The sequence below is a fragment of the Homo sapiens genome, chromosome 10 (genome assembly GCF_000001405.40).
Source record: "Homo sapiens chromosome 10, GRCh38.p14 Primary Assembly".
Classification (NCBI taxonomy): domain Eukaryota; kingdom Metazoa; phylum Chordata; class Mammalia; order Primates; family Hominidae; genus Homo; species Homo sapiens.
The window spans coordinates 94272906-94290309 of NC_000010.11; the positions used below are offsets into that span (position 1 = coordinate 94272906).

A 17404-nucleotide genomic window follows, 5' to 3' on the forward strand; every position below is an offset into this window, starting at 1 on the left:
AAAAATAACTCAAGGCCAGGCCCAGTGGCTCACACCTGTAATCCTAGCACTTTGGGAGGCTGAGGCGGGTGGATCGCTTGAGCTCAGGAGTTCGAGACCAGCCTGGGCAACAATGGAGTTGATATAAGCATTGTGTCTGCTTTCCCTCCACCCACCTCCTTGACAGACACACATTCTGCTTTGGAGATCCATGCTCAAAATCTTTGTGAGAATTGTGTCTGTGGTTCTTTACACTATGTGGACGCAAATTCTACCTATGTCTTTGTCCCTGCTCCCTACCCCCTCCAAAGTTTTATCCTTTTGACTTGACTTCATCTGAAACTAACCTTATTCTACAAACAACAGCCTCTAACTGATTCTCTGTTTTCTTATTTAATACATCAGACCACAGAATATTTTCCTAAATAGTTAGAACTGACACCAGCTGCAGAGTGGCCTCGACCTCTCCTCCTGTCCTTCTAAACACCTCCCTTCCTTTCAGTAAGAAACTGTGAAGGGGGCAGGAGCAGGGGACAGCTTCTTTCCTAGTTCCTCTTCCTAAGACTTTTTAAATAATTCAACCAGTCTAAAATATCTACTATGTTTATGAAGTGTACATATATTTATCAATTATAGATAAAAGGCATTGATTGTATGTTTTCCTTCATTCTTTTTAGACTGTGTTTGGAGAAAAGCTGGTGACTAAATTCTTATTTGAGACTGATTTCTCAGATGATCCAATGCTTCCTTCACCTGACCAACTCAGAAAGAAAGTTCTTCTTAAAAACAAGAAGCTAAAAGCCCATCAGACGCCAGTGGATATCTTAAAGCAAAAGGTACTCCCCTCTGTTAAACCAGTTATGAAAAGGCAGTGTGCCTAGAACAAAGAAAAATAACATCATTCTAACCTTTCAGATGACCTGCTGGTTTACTAGTTTTTCAAGACTGACTTTCCTTAAATGATAAGTTTGATTTTGGGCTTTTCATTCCATAGACCAATAAATTCTCTCATCTCACTCACCCAAGATTTAATTTGTGGAATAGTTCCCACATAGAATATACCTCCGTTATTTAATTTATTCTGAGTGGGATGAAGTGTGACTGTTGTGTCTGAAACTGAGCTTAGGGGGTTGTTCATCCCATAATGGCTGCTATAGTCCCCTTTAGGGAGAGTCCCCTTAGGGGAGCCCTTGGCATGGGGCCTGTAGTAGAAGCCCAAAAGCCATAGCCCTGTGATCCCAGCGTATCACTAGTTTATGCTGCTTGGGCCCAGATCCGGACAACAGAGATCTGGGCCCAAGCACGACAAACCCACCTGTGTAGGAGACCCTCGGCTCAAAGGTCTGTGAAAAAGTTCAGGTACAGAACACTGAGTCCATTTTCCAGTCTGCACCTACTTATCCCACAGGATGACAGCTGACAAAACTATTTGTCCTACTTAGGAGGGCACTGTTGGTCCTAAAACATCACTTTGGAAACTAGCCAGCTACAGACTTGCTCTCAGGCTGGCTCAAAGAGTACAGGCACACAGATGCTAAACATACAGAAACCAGTTTCTTTACAAACATCCGAACCTGCATATTCCCTTGAAGTGTTTGTGTCCTCTGAAGGTAATACATTACCCAATTTGAAGATCACCCATGATTCTGGGCCAAAAGTTGCAAAATCAGCCACTTTCAGGGGCTAAGCAGGAAACATCAGTGTGAGGAGCCAGCTGGATACAGGACAGCTGGAAGTGGTGAGGACAGGAGTGGAGTGTGCACGCCGTGTCAAAGAACAGCTCTAATTCAATTATTTTTAAACACTGCACCAGCCAAACAAGTCAGGTCTGGAGGTGCAGTCAGCCCCAAGGGCCACCAGTTGGAGACCTCCAGTAGGTCTACCTTTATCCAGATCTGCACTTCCAAATCTGCTCCAGGTGACCTTGCTTTTGCTTGGGTTTCAGAGGCCATGGCACCTATGCTGATGGGCCTTGTTACAAAGTTATTTAAATGTTAGCATGTATACTCTACCTTGCCTTCCTCAAATGCCACATCAGTGACTGACCACCCAGTGTGGTGCTTTTTCTTCTAGAGCCCTGTTCATCTGTGCTGTTTTCTTTATCCAACAATTCCTGCCCAGTCCTCACTGCCAAGCAGATAAAGCTGCTAACCACACATACCACTGTGGTCTTCAAGATAAATGATAAATGTGAATGTCCTTGCCTTTTCCATTCTGTGCACAGTCATTTGCAGTTACTTATAAGGCCTTCATTCCACTAATGAACAGAAGTCTTTTTTATGTTGAGCCCAAATCTTCCTTCCTTTTCCTCCTTCTCATTGGCCCTCCCTCTTCCCTCTGCAGCTGTACAGACTAATTTTATATTTAGAAAGCTATCATGTGTTTCCCCACCAGCTTTTCTTCTCCAAGCTAAAAATTCTTGTTGTGCCAACTGTTCCTGACAGGATATGGTTGCTAAGACTCTTTACTTACCATTAAGAATATCGTAGATATTCTTAAATTTGTGGATATTCTTGAATTCGTCAATCTGAAAATGTGATTTCCAGAACTAAATCAGTATTCTAGGTAGTATATTACAGCACAAGAACAGTGAAACCATCACCTCCCCTAATTTGAACTTTAAACCTTTGTTAATACAGCCTCAGACTGTCTGCTTTTCAAAAATTCTTGGCCAGCCGCTGTGGCTCACGCCTGTAATCCCAGCACTTTGGGAGGCCGAGGCAGGTCGATTGCTTGAATCTAGGAGTTCAAGACAAGCCTGGGCAACATATCAAATCCCCATCTCTACACAAAATATAAAAATTAGCTGGGCATGGTGGCATGTGCCTGTATTCCCAGCTACTGGAGAGGCTGAGGCAGGAGGATCACCTGAGCCTGGGAGGCCAAGGCTGCAATGAGCCATGTTGTGCCACTGCATACCAGTCTGGGCCATAGAGTAAGACCCTGACTCAAAAAAAAAAAAAATTCTTTAGCACACACTGAGCTCATGTTGAGCTTGTAGAAAACAAAAAGCATTCAGTTATTTTCATATAGACTGTTCTTATGCCCAGCGTTCCCATTTTTCCAGATTAACAATGAATTTTAACCTTTTGTATATGGGAGCCTCACATTTATCTCTATTTCTGCTCTTCTTGGTTTTGGTATATTATTACGTCCTACAAAGTTCTTTGTGAATTTTGTTTCTGTCATCTGGTACATTTATTAGCAGTTTCTCAAACTGTGTCTTCATCCCAAGTTGCCCTTGAGTCAGCCAGCCACATGGAGAGGCCTGTGCCCTTCTTAAATAAGCCCCCTGGCATTTGATGATTATTGCCCCCGTCTGGTGCTCTCCTCTCTTGTAGCCTGCATTTCCCAGAGTGTGCTTCGACTTCTTTATTGATTTCTTTATTTATAAAATAGAAAACTGAAACCTGGCCACTTGTGTGACTTTCTCAAGGCCACCCAGCTCATAGCAATAGAGCTTAGTCTCAGACTTGGGTCTTTAGAGAAGCCCTTTTCAAAGGTGATACAGAAGTCAGAGTACATTAATAAGAATAATCGCTGGAGCACTTTGAAAAACAGATTCTAAGGTCACAAATCTGACTGACTAAGTCAGAATTTCCAGAAGAAAGGCCTGGTCATCTGTTTATATAAAAATAATTCCTTAAGTCACCATGGTGTCTGCGTAAAAAATAATAACAATAATAATTCTTATTATCCTGGAAGTTTGAGAAACACTATTTATCTGCTGTTTTTCCCATAAAGTGAATTATCTTATCCAAAACAGCTAAGGAGGTCACTGTGTGGTAAACTTGTTCTTAGTAGATCCACTCTAACTCTTGCAAATCACCTCTTTATTTTCTAAGTTCTCACAAACCAAGTGATTAATACCCCATCATGAAATTTTGTCAGCTATCACCTTGACACTGCCCACAGTATAATTTCCACAACTTACTTGTTCCTTATTTTGGAAAAATGGGACAATATAATCCCTATTGCCAGTTTTCTAAGACTGCTTGCAACCTTTCATGATGACTTCCCAAGGGGTACCAGCAATGATTCCACAGTCACATCCGTAAGGCCTTTCTGTTTTCTGGTAGATCATGGGTCTAGACCTAGTGATGATCTGACCTCAAATAAACCAGGTGATCCAGAGCTCCAGTGGGCTCAGACCTACCCGCTAACATAGAAGGCCGGAGTCATTTCCCATACAAAGAACTCACCCTCAGCAAGGATGGATTGACTCAGAGCAGGATTTCTGAAGCCCTCCACCTGCCTCTGGCTTGTACTGAGATGCATCCTGAGGTCTCCTAACTATACCCCACCAGGATCCTCCAGGATTCTGACATTCCTCTCCTGAATTTGAACCCAAAAAACTCAGTTCACCTTAAATGACAGACACTGCGGCTAGGTACTGGGGAAACAGAGAAGTGTAAGACATTGCTCCTGCTTAGCCCTATGAGGGCCAGTCTCCTCATCTGACCCATACCTCCAACCACAACCTATATCCGAGTTACTTTTATTCAGGGGCTGAGGTCCCATTTTTCTACCCTAGAATAAGTAGGATATTGCATAGAAGGGTCCCAGCTGTTGGCCGTTTGTTGGGCTACCTCTCCCATGCTTCTCCTTGAGCATCTTGGGGGCCTTGGCACTCCACTTTCAGACACTGCTATTCGTGGTTCTTTGAGCAGTGTCCTTCTCCCATACAGTTCTCATGCTTCCCTGCCAGTGGGGTCTGTCCAGCCCTTGGCGTCATCATTCCCAGCACTTGGCATTACCTTGAGTGCTCGCTGAGTCAAGGCCCTTCTCTTATCAGCGATAAACAGACCTGCTTTTGTGGCTCACTTGTGCCTACAACAGATTTCCCAAAGTTTTGAAGAACACTAATCCTATGAGAGACTCTGAGAAGAGAAAGACAGGGGAAAAAAATTTCCTGGTTAAGTAAGCATGGGAAATGCTGCACTGGAGATCTTTGAAGACTCGTGATGCCCTTTAGCGTATTAAATGAAGGCTGTGTGAAACCCTGTAGTAGGAATGTGTTCAGGTTTGGTTAAGCTGCTGCTTCCAGGCATTCAGTGTATCTTGTGGTTCCTGTAATTGTCAGTTTTTCCATAACACCTATTAACACCCACCGAGCTCCATAAAACCCACTTTGAGAAATCGCAGCCTAGACCATGTCCAGTTATCTGGAATGGACTGCTTTGTAATACATTTCATCTGGATATGGACACAGCCTAAATTGTATCTTCCTTATGTATACATATTCATTATAAAGGTAATATAACCACATTTCAAAAATTTAGGGAATAGAGAATTATTTTAAAACATACATAATTCCAGGGTCAAACACAACTGTATTACACGAGTTCTTAACCTTGGTAATATCCACAAATAGAATTTAGGGAGTCTACGAATATAAATGGAAAAAAATTACATCTTTATTTTCACTAACCTCTAGCTGAAATTTAGCATTTCCTCTGATCATAAATGTAGGGAATAAACTACAGTAATATAGGCAATACCTATTGTCATCAATAGAAATGGCAACTTTTTCATTATACTTCACAGTTGTCGCTAATATCTCCAAGAATTATTTATGCTCAATTTATATTTTCAAAAATGTTAATTAACTTACTACTATGTTTTCTACTGTGTTAATAAACACATATATTCTAATAGCACAAATTTGTTCCTATAACATGTGATCACTGTATTCAACAGTATTTCCTTTGTAACCATTTCATTTTATGCATTTAAAACATCATTCTGAGAAGGGATCCTGTCTCACCAGACAACCAGAGAAGTCTGTGATGCAAAAACAAGTGAAGAACCCCTGCCATATTAACATTTAATATCTAGGACTTCGTGACTGTCATTTTATATAATTGCACTTTAAATATATAAAACAAATACAGAATTATATGTATATTTATATAGTGTATATATTTACATGTATAGCTATTATCTGTATGCACACACATACATTATATATAGTATATATTAGCACACATGTATGCACACATACACATGCAGAATTATATATGTGTGTATATATAATCTATATAGTATATTCAATGCATAAATATTGAATAAAAGAATTTGTTCACTTCCTTTGTTCAATAAATATATATCAATTATTTTTTCATATCTCATTCTCTCCAGCAGACAACCATTGCTTACTGACCCCGTTCCTCTACCCCGTTTAGATTGTTTCCTGCATTTAGTTCATGCAAGTAACGTTTCCTATATTTCAGATGATTTTCTTAAGCTAGGTAGGTTCCCAGACCTGTACTGATGCTTATCACTTCACAGTAATTCCAGTAAACACGGAGTATGTGACCTCCCTGGCTGCACACATCAAGTTTCCTAAAGTTTCTAGGCCTGTTTTGTTAATCTGATTTATGGTTCAGAAAGCCGTTTGAAAACAATTTTATTTAAACCAACAACAATTCTTTTGGCCTCTTTGTCCATAGGGATTCTAATATTGTTCTCAAGGTCAGGAGCCTGTAGATATTATTTTAAGAAGGGGAAAAAATGGTTTCTTAACAGAGACATACTTCTGAAAAATTGATGGGTGATTCACTTCTTCAGTCACTTGGGATTGATGCTGGTTCTCCAAATCACCAAAGCTTTCTCTTGGAGGGGTTGTCCTGGGAACCTGGCTAGCTGGGCACTGCACACAGTCTTCTGGAGATTGTTTATAAAAGCTCCAGGATTCTTCCTGTAGGAATGCTAACGTTCACCCAAGTGTTGACATTGCATTTCGAGGGAATCTAGATTTTTTTCTCCTCTCCCAAATGTATCAAAATAGGTTAAGCCACTTTTAACGATTGTGTTAAACATCAGGGGTAGTTTTAAAGGTTATAAATGAATTCATTAACTTGGCATCTGCAGTTTACAATTATTGCTATTTTACAGGCTCATCAGTTAGCATCTATGCAAGTGCAGGCTTATAATGGTGGGAATGCCAACCCCCGACCTGCCAATAATGAGGAAGAGGAAGATGAGGAGGACGAATATGATTATGACTATGAATCCCTTTCTGATGGTAAGAGAAACAGATCCCTATGCTGTGCACAGGAAAATTCTTGGATGATTTGCCACATTTTTCTTTCTAAAATAAGTCTAGAGCGCCAAAGACCAGTAATACGGATGGTTGTAATATTGTCCAGGAGTTTCTGAATTCAGTCACTTAGCAAGGACCGAGGAAGGAGGGGATTCTGTTAGCCAACACTTACAGAAAGAAGAGGCAGGTGTGGGAAGTTACAGGGAGTCATTCCTACGACAAGTTTCTAGAGGAAGAGATGGAATTGCAGCAGAGAAACCCTGTTTTCACCCTTTAGTTTCTAGCGTGGCTGATAATCTTGGCAGGAGTCGTAGACTGAGGTTGCGTCCTTTCTCCTGCACCACCGGCAGGGGGCAGCATCACGGCTCTGTGCTCTCTGTTTCACACTCTTGCTCTGGCATTCTAGTAGTGAAAAGAAAGGAGAGGAGCCTCATTTCCCCTCCCTCCCTGGTTTTCATACCACTAAGCCAACAAGATCTTTCCTTCTGGCCCCACCAAAGAGAAAAAACATAGGCAATGCTAATGACGCAACACAAAAAGTCACACGAATGATGTTAACTACAGATTACTAGCGAAGGATTCTTCTCACATGAGAATTAGGTTTTCAGTGTGTTTCATTTGCATTAAACATTTGTTAGAGATTGCAGAATGTTTACTCAGGTACCTTTGCTGATAGTAGACTGTTTCATTTTGGTGATGTCTGAAAGGCAACAATATAATAATAAGAAAATGCCAAGGTTCCTATTTCTATAAACATTATATAGTAGAATATATTCTTTCTATGTAGAATAATTGTTTTGCTAAATATGCAGATATGCCCAGACCAGAAACCATTTACCATTAAGTTGTCTCATGCATTAAGACAACTGAGCCCCCTCCTCCAAATATCTGCTCCTCAGCAGAAATTTGAGTTGTCTCCAGTCATAGTTCAGTTTTGTGAGCCTCCATCACTGGTTATACTGCAAATATAATACCAAACTGTCTGCCCCCAAATATAATACCAAACTACATCATTTAGTATTTGTCCTTAGTAATAGTTGATTGCTCCATACCACCAATTAAAAGCCAGTTTGCTACACCTGAAACCCCATGAGCTAATATGAGAGACATATCTCATCAGATAGTAAGAGGGGAAAAAATTAAAAGGAGTCAAGACAATTTCTCTGCAAAGTCATGGGAATGTGAATTTTTTATATTAACTTATTCTTCCCCATGGTTTTCTTCCCCATTACAGTTGCAGTAATGCCCCATAGAACTAATTGATTCAGATATGAAATAAAAATCACACCTAAGAAATCAACTAATCTAGATGTCATATGCCCCTATAAGTAGTTAGTCCACTAGAAAACAAATTTGCTCTTTCATAAATTACTCCTGTGCTTTTTCTGTACTTCTGAGAATAAGAAAGGAAAAGCCTTTTTAGAAATTATTATTATACTGTAGATTTCACATAAAGAAATAACAAAAAATTATTATAGATGGTTTTGATTTGCAAGTAACAAAATGAACAGGTGGGAGAAGGATTTTCTGATTTATTTTCATTTGGGAAATTTAGTCCTATACCACTGAATTTCTAAGATAGTTGCATGTATTTTTAACAATCCACATATGCAGAGGTGGAGTATCATTGGAAAAGGGGACCACACCAGGCTCTGTTCCAGTAGACTGTGATACCTGGGGCAATGTCTTCACCACCTTAGGCCTTAGATGCCTCAGATATGTAATCAAAAGTTCTGCGAAGTGTTTGGTGATGTTCTTCCTCTACTTCCAGCACTAAGATCTGTAATGTATGACCACTTAAGCCCACTACCACTACATGAGTATTTCCCCCTTCATTGAAAGATCGCTCTGACTGGATGATTCTCAAACAGGCCTTGTAGTTATGCTGTGACTTGTTGAAGCTTGTCCAGTTAAGGCTTCCGTATGTGACTATTAGATGCCTTACTAACCACATGCCTTTGATTATTGTTGTGACCATCTCCACTTTCTCCAGCAGGGATAGAGAACAGAAATCTACCTGCTGTGGGAAGCACCGTTACCAGCCTCTTAGGGGGCCTAAAAGGTTTCCTAGCTTCTCGTAATAATGGGTCTTTTTGAGAATCAGATGAAAGCTATCACCTCTGAAAAATAAAACGTGCTCTCAAAATTCTGCACAACTGCAAGAGTTTCACAAGTTTCCTGAGACCCTCATAGGCATCCTAGATTAGGAACCCATCTCTAAAGTCAGGGTGCCCGGTTTATCTCTGTGATCTCTCATCCTTGGTTTTCATGCCCATTAAATAAAGGAATTAATCTAACACCATTTGGGCTATAAAAATGAGATAATGCCTAGCCACAGAATTATTGCAAGAAAACGCTAAGGAAGTTGCAAATGAGAGTTATTTATCTGAGAAATTGTAACTCTGCCTTTTGGGTAATAAATTCTTAATATTTTTCTCCCAACCTTGTTGTTTACCTTGTGTCTAGTTTTGAACATACACTGCAGACAAATTTGAATTTACAACTTAACGCAGACATATTCTATGACAATGACAGCACAATTCCAAGAAATTAATCTGTTTCTGTACATTTGAAATGAAGTCATATTGGGAGTATTACAGCAGTCAGTAACTGAAAATATGTAACATGAATGTGTCAGCCCTTGGCATGATTCACATTAATAATGTTTACATTTCGTTTACTGCTAGTCCTTGCATTGTTCCACAGTCAAAATATTAAATCTATAGAGCATTTCCTGTTTCATTTATTTATAATCTAAGCTGCTGTTATTTGTGCTTTGCTTCATGCCTTTGTTTAATTTATCTGGTGTTTGTCTTAATTTTCTCCTTCCTTTACCCCTTTCTGATTCTGTTTTTCTGTAGCAGATGTCCTTACTGCCTCCCCTGCTCCTAACGGTCAGGAAGGTAAATGCCATTTGAACGGGGCATTTTAACTGCATGGATGTCAGCATTCTGTTTCCAATTTCTTGGGCCCGGTTAGCATGACGTTGTGATACTTCTGTGAATACAAATGTAATGAAATGATTTATCTCATTTACTTCTTGTCAGCCTGCATGGCCCTGATTTGGTATAAGGTCCTTTTGGTCTAATCGTTTGTGCTCTGATGATGCGATACTAAATCTTGAGTGAGAAATTAGCTTTCTTGTTTTTCATTTTAAAAGGTCATCATCACGATACACTTCTAATACCTTTAGAGTCATTCCAAATAGAAAAGCAAAAAAAGAGCAAAATATAAGATTATATCTTATGATATAATATTCAGATATATTTTATTTTCTGTTATGATTATCACTTAGTAAATTAATAACAATCATGAAAACTTTACTTTTTAATTATAATTGTGAAGACTTTGCATTGCACCCAATAATAAGTCTTTCCCCCTAGGTTTTGGCATTTCTCAAGGTAAAAGAAGTAAATAGCTTCATTTCAAAGTGAGAGTGAGTCAATCATGTATGTACCTTCTAGAAGTGCTTCAGCCACTAAATCCTTCCCAAACGTGTGTGCTGTCAGCTTCTTGACACGGGGTATCTTCCATAATATTTGCACAGTTCCAATCATCTGTATGAAAATTGGCATCTTCATTTAGATTATGTCTATATGCCAGATTATTTTGAATCATTTAAATTATGTATATAAGTGACAAAAACTACTGGTAAATAAATCAATTAAATTGAAAATAACTGCATCAACCCAATTTTTACAGTTATGCTTCAAGCCATCATTTTGTTAACATACTATATAGTTAGAGCCTCATTCTTATAGATAAGTACAAGTATCTGGATGTCCTCACAGTGATGCACATGTAGCTCTTAAGTGAAGCATTGGGTTCGTTTTCACTGAAGTCTGCTAACTTATTTTCAGACAACATTCTGGAAGACAGACCTGAAAATAAATCATGTAATGACAAGCTTCAGTTTGAATATAATGAAGAAATCCCAAAGAGGATAAAGAAAGCAGATAACTCTGCTTGCAACAAAGGAAAGGTGGGTGAACGGTTTCTGTTAAATGACACTTTGACCATGTGGTACTCTTGTCAGTTTCAGATGAGATTCCACTTGCTCCCTGTCCCTCCCTTTCACCTTTCCCCTCACTTTCCCTTAGATACCTGCCAAAGTTCACTTGGTGATATTAAAAGACACCCACCTTCCATTTGTGGAAAGTTAGTCACTGATTCATCCAGCCAATACCTACTAATGGTGTATGTGTGGCAGGTACTGAAGTGGCACAGAGGTGGTTTAGTGATGAAGGCAGACATGTCAACTGTGTTGAATGTAAGTGCATAGAACAGTGATTATACTGTGTTATCAGAGAATCAAGGACAGGCTCTCAGGGAAGATGAGGTTTCAGAAGGAAGATTTGGCTAAACAGACAAAAACAGAACATTCGGGCCAAGAGGGCAGCCTGGTATGTCCAGGGAATTGCAAGAAGTTTTAAAGGCATTTGGGATGACCAAGAAGATAAACGGGCCAGATAGCAGAGGAATGACACTGAGAATAGGAAGATAAATGAGATACCCAGACCCTATCCTCAAGTGCCTCACAGTTTATAGACTCTGAGCAAATCTTTAGACGCAGTTGCAGTGACATTGTTGGACAATGGAATTGTAAGATATGTCAAAAATTTGAGCCACGGAAGATACATAGTCAATCCTCTATTTATTTAACAAAGATTTATTGACCATTCCACATGTAAGACAGTGGACCATGCACTGAGGGAAGATGGAGGATGAATTAGACTCACCTCCTGCCCTCAGAAAGCTTTTACTCTAGGAAAGCTGTTGGGACATGTATATGGATAATTACCATGCAAGGGGAAATACAGTAATAACACCAGAGGAGGACAGATAAAAGAGCTTTGGGAATCCAGAGGTGAGTAGCATATACCTTCCATGTAAAATGGTATCATTTTTCCCTTACCAGGTTTATGATATGGAACTGGGAGAAGAATTTTATCTTGATCAGAATAAAAAGGAAAGCAGACAGATTGCACCAGAGCTTTCTGACCTTGTAATCTATTGTCAAGCAGTAAAATTTCCAGGTAAGATTAGGCAATATCATCTATAACTTTTAAAGATATCAAAGGTTAAAAATATGCCATTTATTTAATTGGGCATTGTGAACACTCTCAAAATAACTAAATTGTGTTGCTGAAATCATTGTTATAATACCTCCTAAATATCTTTATTATTATAATTTGCCTTGATGCTCATGAAGAAAAATACCATAAAGTATTCATTTTTCAGGTCACACAATGTCTTTTTATAATAGTTAATAATTATAAAAGTTATAATACTCATAATTTCTAATTGCTAAATGTATTAAATACTTAAGTACTAGGATTTGTGCTATTTTACGTACATCTCCTTTACCGTTCATAATGATTCTACAAGGTAGGCGGTATTATCTCCATTTTAAAATAAAGTCTGAGAGGGATGAAGTAATTTGCCCCAAGTTTCAGAGTATATCAGTCAAGATTCTTTTGTTTGAAAGTGGCAGAAATTGACCTAAGTAAAGGGAACTTTATTGACTCATGTGCTTAAAAATGAAGACACACAGGTTTCAGGTATAGCTTAACCAAGGTACATGCTTTCTCTTTCCTCATTTCTCATTCCGCCTCCATCATGTTGGCTTTCTCCCCTTTATTCCCTTCTGGTTGCGAGACGGCTACAGCAGGCCAGCACTACATGCTTCCAGTTTCAGCTTCAGTGTAAGAGTCTCTTCCAGAACTTCCCGCAGAAGTGTCATTGTTTCTCATTGGGTCCTTTACCAATCACTGTGGCCAGGAGATGCAGTGCTCTGATGGTCTGGATCCCATGTCACATTCTCCACTCTGAGCTGGGTAGCAAGGCCCCACCCAAACCACAAGGACCAAGGATGGCGTTGAAGTGGAAGGAGAGATTTCCCCCAATTGACCGTTTTTAGAAGTACAGTGGACAGGCTGATGAACCACTTTCCAAAAACAGTGTCCTTTTCAATTAATGAATGGTAGACCTATGGCTCTGAAGCCTGTCTGTCTCCAAAGTCCTGCCCTTACCCGTTATACTGCCTGGCCTCTCTTGTTTCGGGCTGTTTTCAATGAGGTACTCAATTATGTGTCCCACAAATGGGGCACCAGGGGGTAGAAGACAAACAAGAAAGTCCCTAAGTACATGGAACTCAGAAAAATTCATCTCCTCATACTAAGAAAAAGGATTCTCTTGAATATAATTTCTGAGAACAGGAAAGTGGCTGAGATAGGAGGATCAGTCTAAATGTTAGTAAACAGGATTTATAGACTTGGCCTGGAGAGAGGCACTAAAATGCCCTCATCTTTTCAAGATGGGCTGAACTCAGGTCCCTCCCAGAGCATATCTTAAGCACCTGGTCTCACACAGTGCCTGACAAATGGGCCAGAGGCATTGGGCTATTTAAAAATTAGGCAAACTGGGTGTAGTGGTGCGTGCCTGTAATCCCAGCTACCAGGGAGGCTGAGCAGGAGAAATGCTTGAGTCTAGGAGTTCAAGCCCAGCCTGGGCAAGATATATAGCAAGACCTCATCTCTAAAAAATAATAATTAAATTTTTAAAATCACAGTTAGGTAATAGTGAGCTTTTCACACATCAGAGTAAAAAAAATCATATTATTTAATGATATGATAAAAATCATATATTTCATGATATTAAAATCATTTTAATTGTAAGTTTTCTCCTATAAGCTGTTTTTAAACTTTTGGCAGCTGCTACTGCTTGTCTGCTAGCAAATCCTGTTGAGGAGGATATGAATCAATAAGTAGCCAGCAAAGATTTCAGAGAAATGCAGGAACCTGGCCATTTAAGTTTAATTTCACAGACCATGACCTCATGGCATATAAGTACAATATGACCATTATTTGCAACTGGCAAAACTCTTTTTCTGATGGAGTAAAACCCTTTACCTGTCAAAGAGCCTGGAGGCTGGCATGTCCTTCATTGCAGGAACAAGGATGAGCGCCACTCTGTCCAAGAATCACACCCACTGCAGCTCTTATTCTTTATAAATGCAGCGGATGCCACACTCGGACCATTCCACTGGCTTTGTCTTTTCTTCTCAAGCACTCAGTAAATAAGGAGCACAAATTCCCAAAGATATTTGAAGTCTGTGTGAAAGATAAAGTCTCTGTACCAGTAGAGAATCGTGGAAGATCAGGAGGTCATGTGATAGAGCTTCTAAGCATGTGGTTGTTCGGCTTATTTTAAAAATTCCAAGTATGTTGTTTTTTAAAAGTGTTCACATAGCATACATTTCTTCATAGGTATAGTGTATTTTCTCTTTAGAAAAATGAAATTTCTTACATTTTTTCCCTGATTTTATTTCCTGTCTCAAAATAGCTAAATTGGATTGCCAGAATGATTGTTATAATACCTTCTAAATATTTCTTTTTACAATCATTTGTTTGATGCACATGAGGAAAATACTATAAACTGTTCATTTTGCTATGCCGTTTATTTTAATTTTGCTACATTATCAATTTCAGTGTATGTCACCTTTCATCATCCCAAGTCCCTTCTTACAAGCCATATGCAAAAAAAAAAAAAAAACCCTTCATTGCAATGAGGCACTCAACAATCATGTGGTATGAGGCCCACAGAAAGGAAGGAACTTCCCCACCATCAGAAGCTAGGTCAGTGGCAGGGCAAGAGCCAGAATTCCTGTCAGCTCCCAGGGGTGGGCTCTTTGCACCACACTATGGAAGTAGTTGAATTTTTTCGACCTGCTTTCTCTTAGGGTTTATTTCTCGGTTGCATTTAGTACTTCTATTGTCCTGGGTTTTTTTCTCCTTCTAATAGAAAAAAAAAAGGATATGGTATTTTTATTTTATGACCCCATCAACCTAGTTTCCAATATCTTCCCACAAGCTCCCCTGCATCCCCCACTCTCCTCAGGCACCTACATACACTGCCGTCTTTCTAGTGCCAGGCCATTGCTCAGAGTGTTCTCAACCTTGCCTGGCCTTCCTTCTCCCCTTGGCCCCATTCCAAATTCCAAGGACGGGGTCCTTGGAAAGTATCTGAGACTCTTCAACTCATTGTGACATCTCCTTTCTGGAGCTCCTTCATTTATAGGCATATGTTTGGGTACCTCCTAGATACCCAGTTGTTCCACAGTTAGGAGTGCAACCTTGTTCTTTTATTTTGAATTTTTTTATTTTGACAGCTTTAGTGGTACAAGTAGTTTTTGGTTACATGGATGAATTGTATAGTGATGAAGTCTGGGATTTTAGCGCACCTGTCACCCAAGTCGTGTAAGTCATACCCACCAGGTAGTTTTTCATCCCTCACCTCCCTCCCACTCTCATTCTGAGTCTCCAATGTCCATTACGCTGCTCTGTATGCCTTGACATACCCATAGCTTAAAAGATTACAACCCTGTAAGACAAAAATTATTCAGTGGTGACAAGATCATCAGATAAGATCGTGGGTCAGAGACCTGGGCTCTTGGCTACCATGCTTTGTGATTTGGCCAAGGCAAATCTCTCTGAGCCTTTCTCACTCAAAAGTGGAGTTGACTAGAATCCTTGTTTACTACACTTGCTGAAATCTCCAGAATCACCCAGGCCACTTGATTAACATACCCAGTCTCAGGCCTCTCTACCAGGGATTTACATTTGGAAGGCACTGGGAGGTCCTGGTCCCTGGGTTTCTAAGGCAGGCAATTCAGGAGCAGGTAGAGCCAGATGATCTGGAAGTCTGATTCTGAGGGGGATTTTGCCTCATTCTCCTTTGGATCCACCACACAGTCCACAGAGCAGGTGCCCAGGGATTCCATGGTGAGGCTCGTCCGGAAGATTCTGTGACTTCCAGGGCTCATTTTTATTCCTACACTGAAGGAGCCACATGGGGAGAGCCTTGCAAGTGTCAGTCCATTCCCTGGACACACACTGTCATTTTCTCAGCACTGAGAGACAAGCTTTGTTCATCAAACAGTGGTTTGCTAACAAGCCATTTGAATGACAAAAGTAGAACCCTGCTGCCTTGGACAGCTTTGGGCTAGCTGGGTGTAGGTCCCTGGCACTGAGAGTTGCCTCCCCCACAGAGAGCCTTGGCCATCCCCCATGGCTGTTCTGGGTTACTCAGACCCACAGTAGTGCTGCAGGTTGGAACACCTTGGAGGGCAAAGGGATGCATTTCAAGAAATGAGAGGGCTTGGAACAGAACTCTCGGGAGAATGTCAACCAACACACCACTGAGAGGTAGCCCTGTTCACTGAAACTTAATTACCCTCGGTGCCTCCCAATATCTTGCAAAACCAGTGAACACAGCTTTTCGGACCTATAGTGACTGGGTAAGATGAGGCCCTGCAGAGCATGGCAGGCAAGGCACTCAGGAAGGAAAAGTAGCCGTGTGACCCTGAGTGGCTCTCGGACCATCCCCAGACTCAGCTTCTCTCCTGATTTTAGCAGTGCCAATATGTTGAATCCTCTGATGTCTCTGGGAGAGCATCCAGAAGAAAGCCTAGCACTGATTATATTTACAGTAATGCATCACTTAATCAGGGAGAGACATTCTGAGAATGCTTCATTAGATTATTTTGTCATTGTGTGAAACATCATAGAGTGAACTTAGACAAAGCTACAGTGTAGCCTGCTACACACCTAGGCTAGATGGTGTAGCCTGTTGCTCCTAAGCTACCAGCCTGTACGGCATGTTACTGCACTGAATACGGTAGGTAAGTGTAACACAATGATAAGTATTTGTGCGTTTAAACATACCTAAACAGACAAGGTACAGTAAAATTATGACATAAAAGATTTAAAATGGTACATCTGTATAGGGCACTTATCATGAATGAAGCTTGCAAGACTGGAAGTTGCTCTAGGTGGATCAGTGAGTGAGTGATGAGTGAATGTGAAGACCTGGGACATTACTGTACATGACTATCGACTTTATAAACACTGTACACTAAGGCTACACTACATTTATAAATAAAAATTTTTCTTCAAAAATAAATTAACCTTAGCTTACTGTAACTTTATATTTTATAAATTTTTATTTTTTTAACTTTTTGACTCTTTTGTAATAACACTTAGCTTAAAACACAAACACATTGTACAACTGTATAAAAATGTTTTCTTTCTTATCTTATTTTTATTTTTTAATTAAAGACCTGGCCTTGCTCTGTCATCCAGGCTGGAGTGCAGTGGTGGAATCATGGCTCACCGTAACCTTGAACTCCCAGGCTCAAGTGATCCTCCCACCCTAGTCTTCTGAGTGGCTAGGACTACAGGCATGTGCCACCAATACCTGGCTAATTTTTCTTTTTTTTTTTAGAGACAAGGGTCTCACTATGTTGCCCAAGCTGATCTCCTGGACTGATCTGCCTTGGCCTCCCAAAATGCTGGAAATACAGGCATGAGCCATCGCACC

The 17404-nt window shown here is 40.1% G+C and overlaps 1 protein-coding gene and 1 long non-coding RNA gene across 33 annotated transcripts in view; one reads left to right on the top strand and one right to left on the bottom strand.

Annotated features, from left to right (window-relative positions):
- The window catches only part of PLCE1 (phospholipase C epsilon 1), a 338893-nt gene that overhangs the window by 278975 nt on the left and 42514 nt on the right, over positions 1 to 17404 (top strand). For 16 of the 32 annotated variants that reach the window (XM_047425289.1, XM_047425297.1, XM_047425290.1 and 13 more), the window contains 4 exons: positions 657 to 815; positions 6877 to 7006; positions 10885 to 11006; positions 11943 to 12060. In XM_047425289.1, the coding sequence (XP_047281245.1) occupies positions 657 to 815; positions 6877 to 7006; positions 10885 to 11006; positions 11943 to 12060 (529 nt within the window). Of the gene's footprint in view, positions 1 to 656; positions 816 to 6876; positions 7007 to 9885; positions 9928 to 10407; positions 10567 to 10884; positions 11007 to 11942; positions 12061 to 17404 lie in introns of those variants that run through there. The other 16 variants (XM_047425285.1, XM_047425287.1, XM_017016310.3 and 13 more) reach the window with 4 other exon arrangements.
- Positions 6385 to 14165, bottom strand: PLCE1-AS1 (PLCE1 antisense RNA 1). The gene is made up of 4 exons (NR_033969.1): positions 13936 to 14165; positions 10482 to 10581; positions 7689 to 7724; positions 6385 to 7426 (listed from the first exon to the last, which is right to left on the bottom strand). It is a non-coding gene; the product is annotated as a PLCE1 antisense RNA 1 (long non-coding RNA).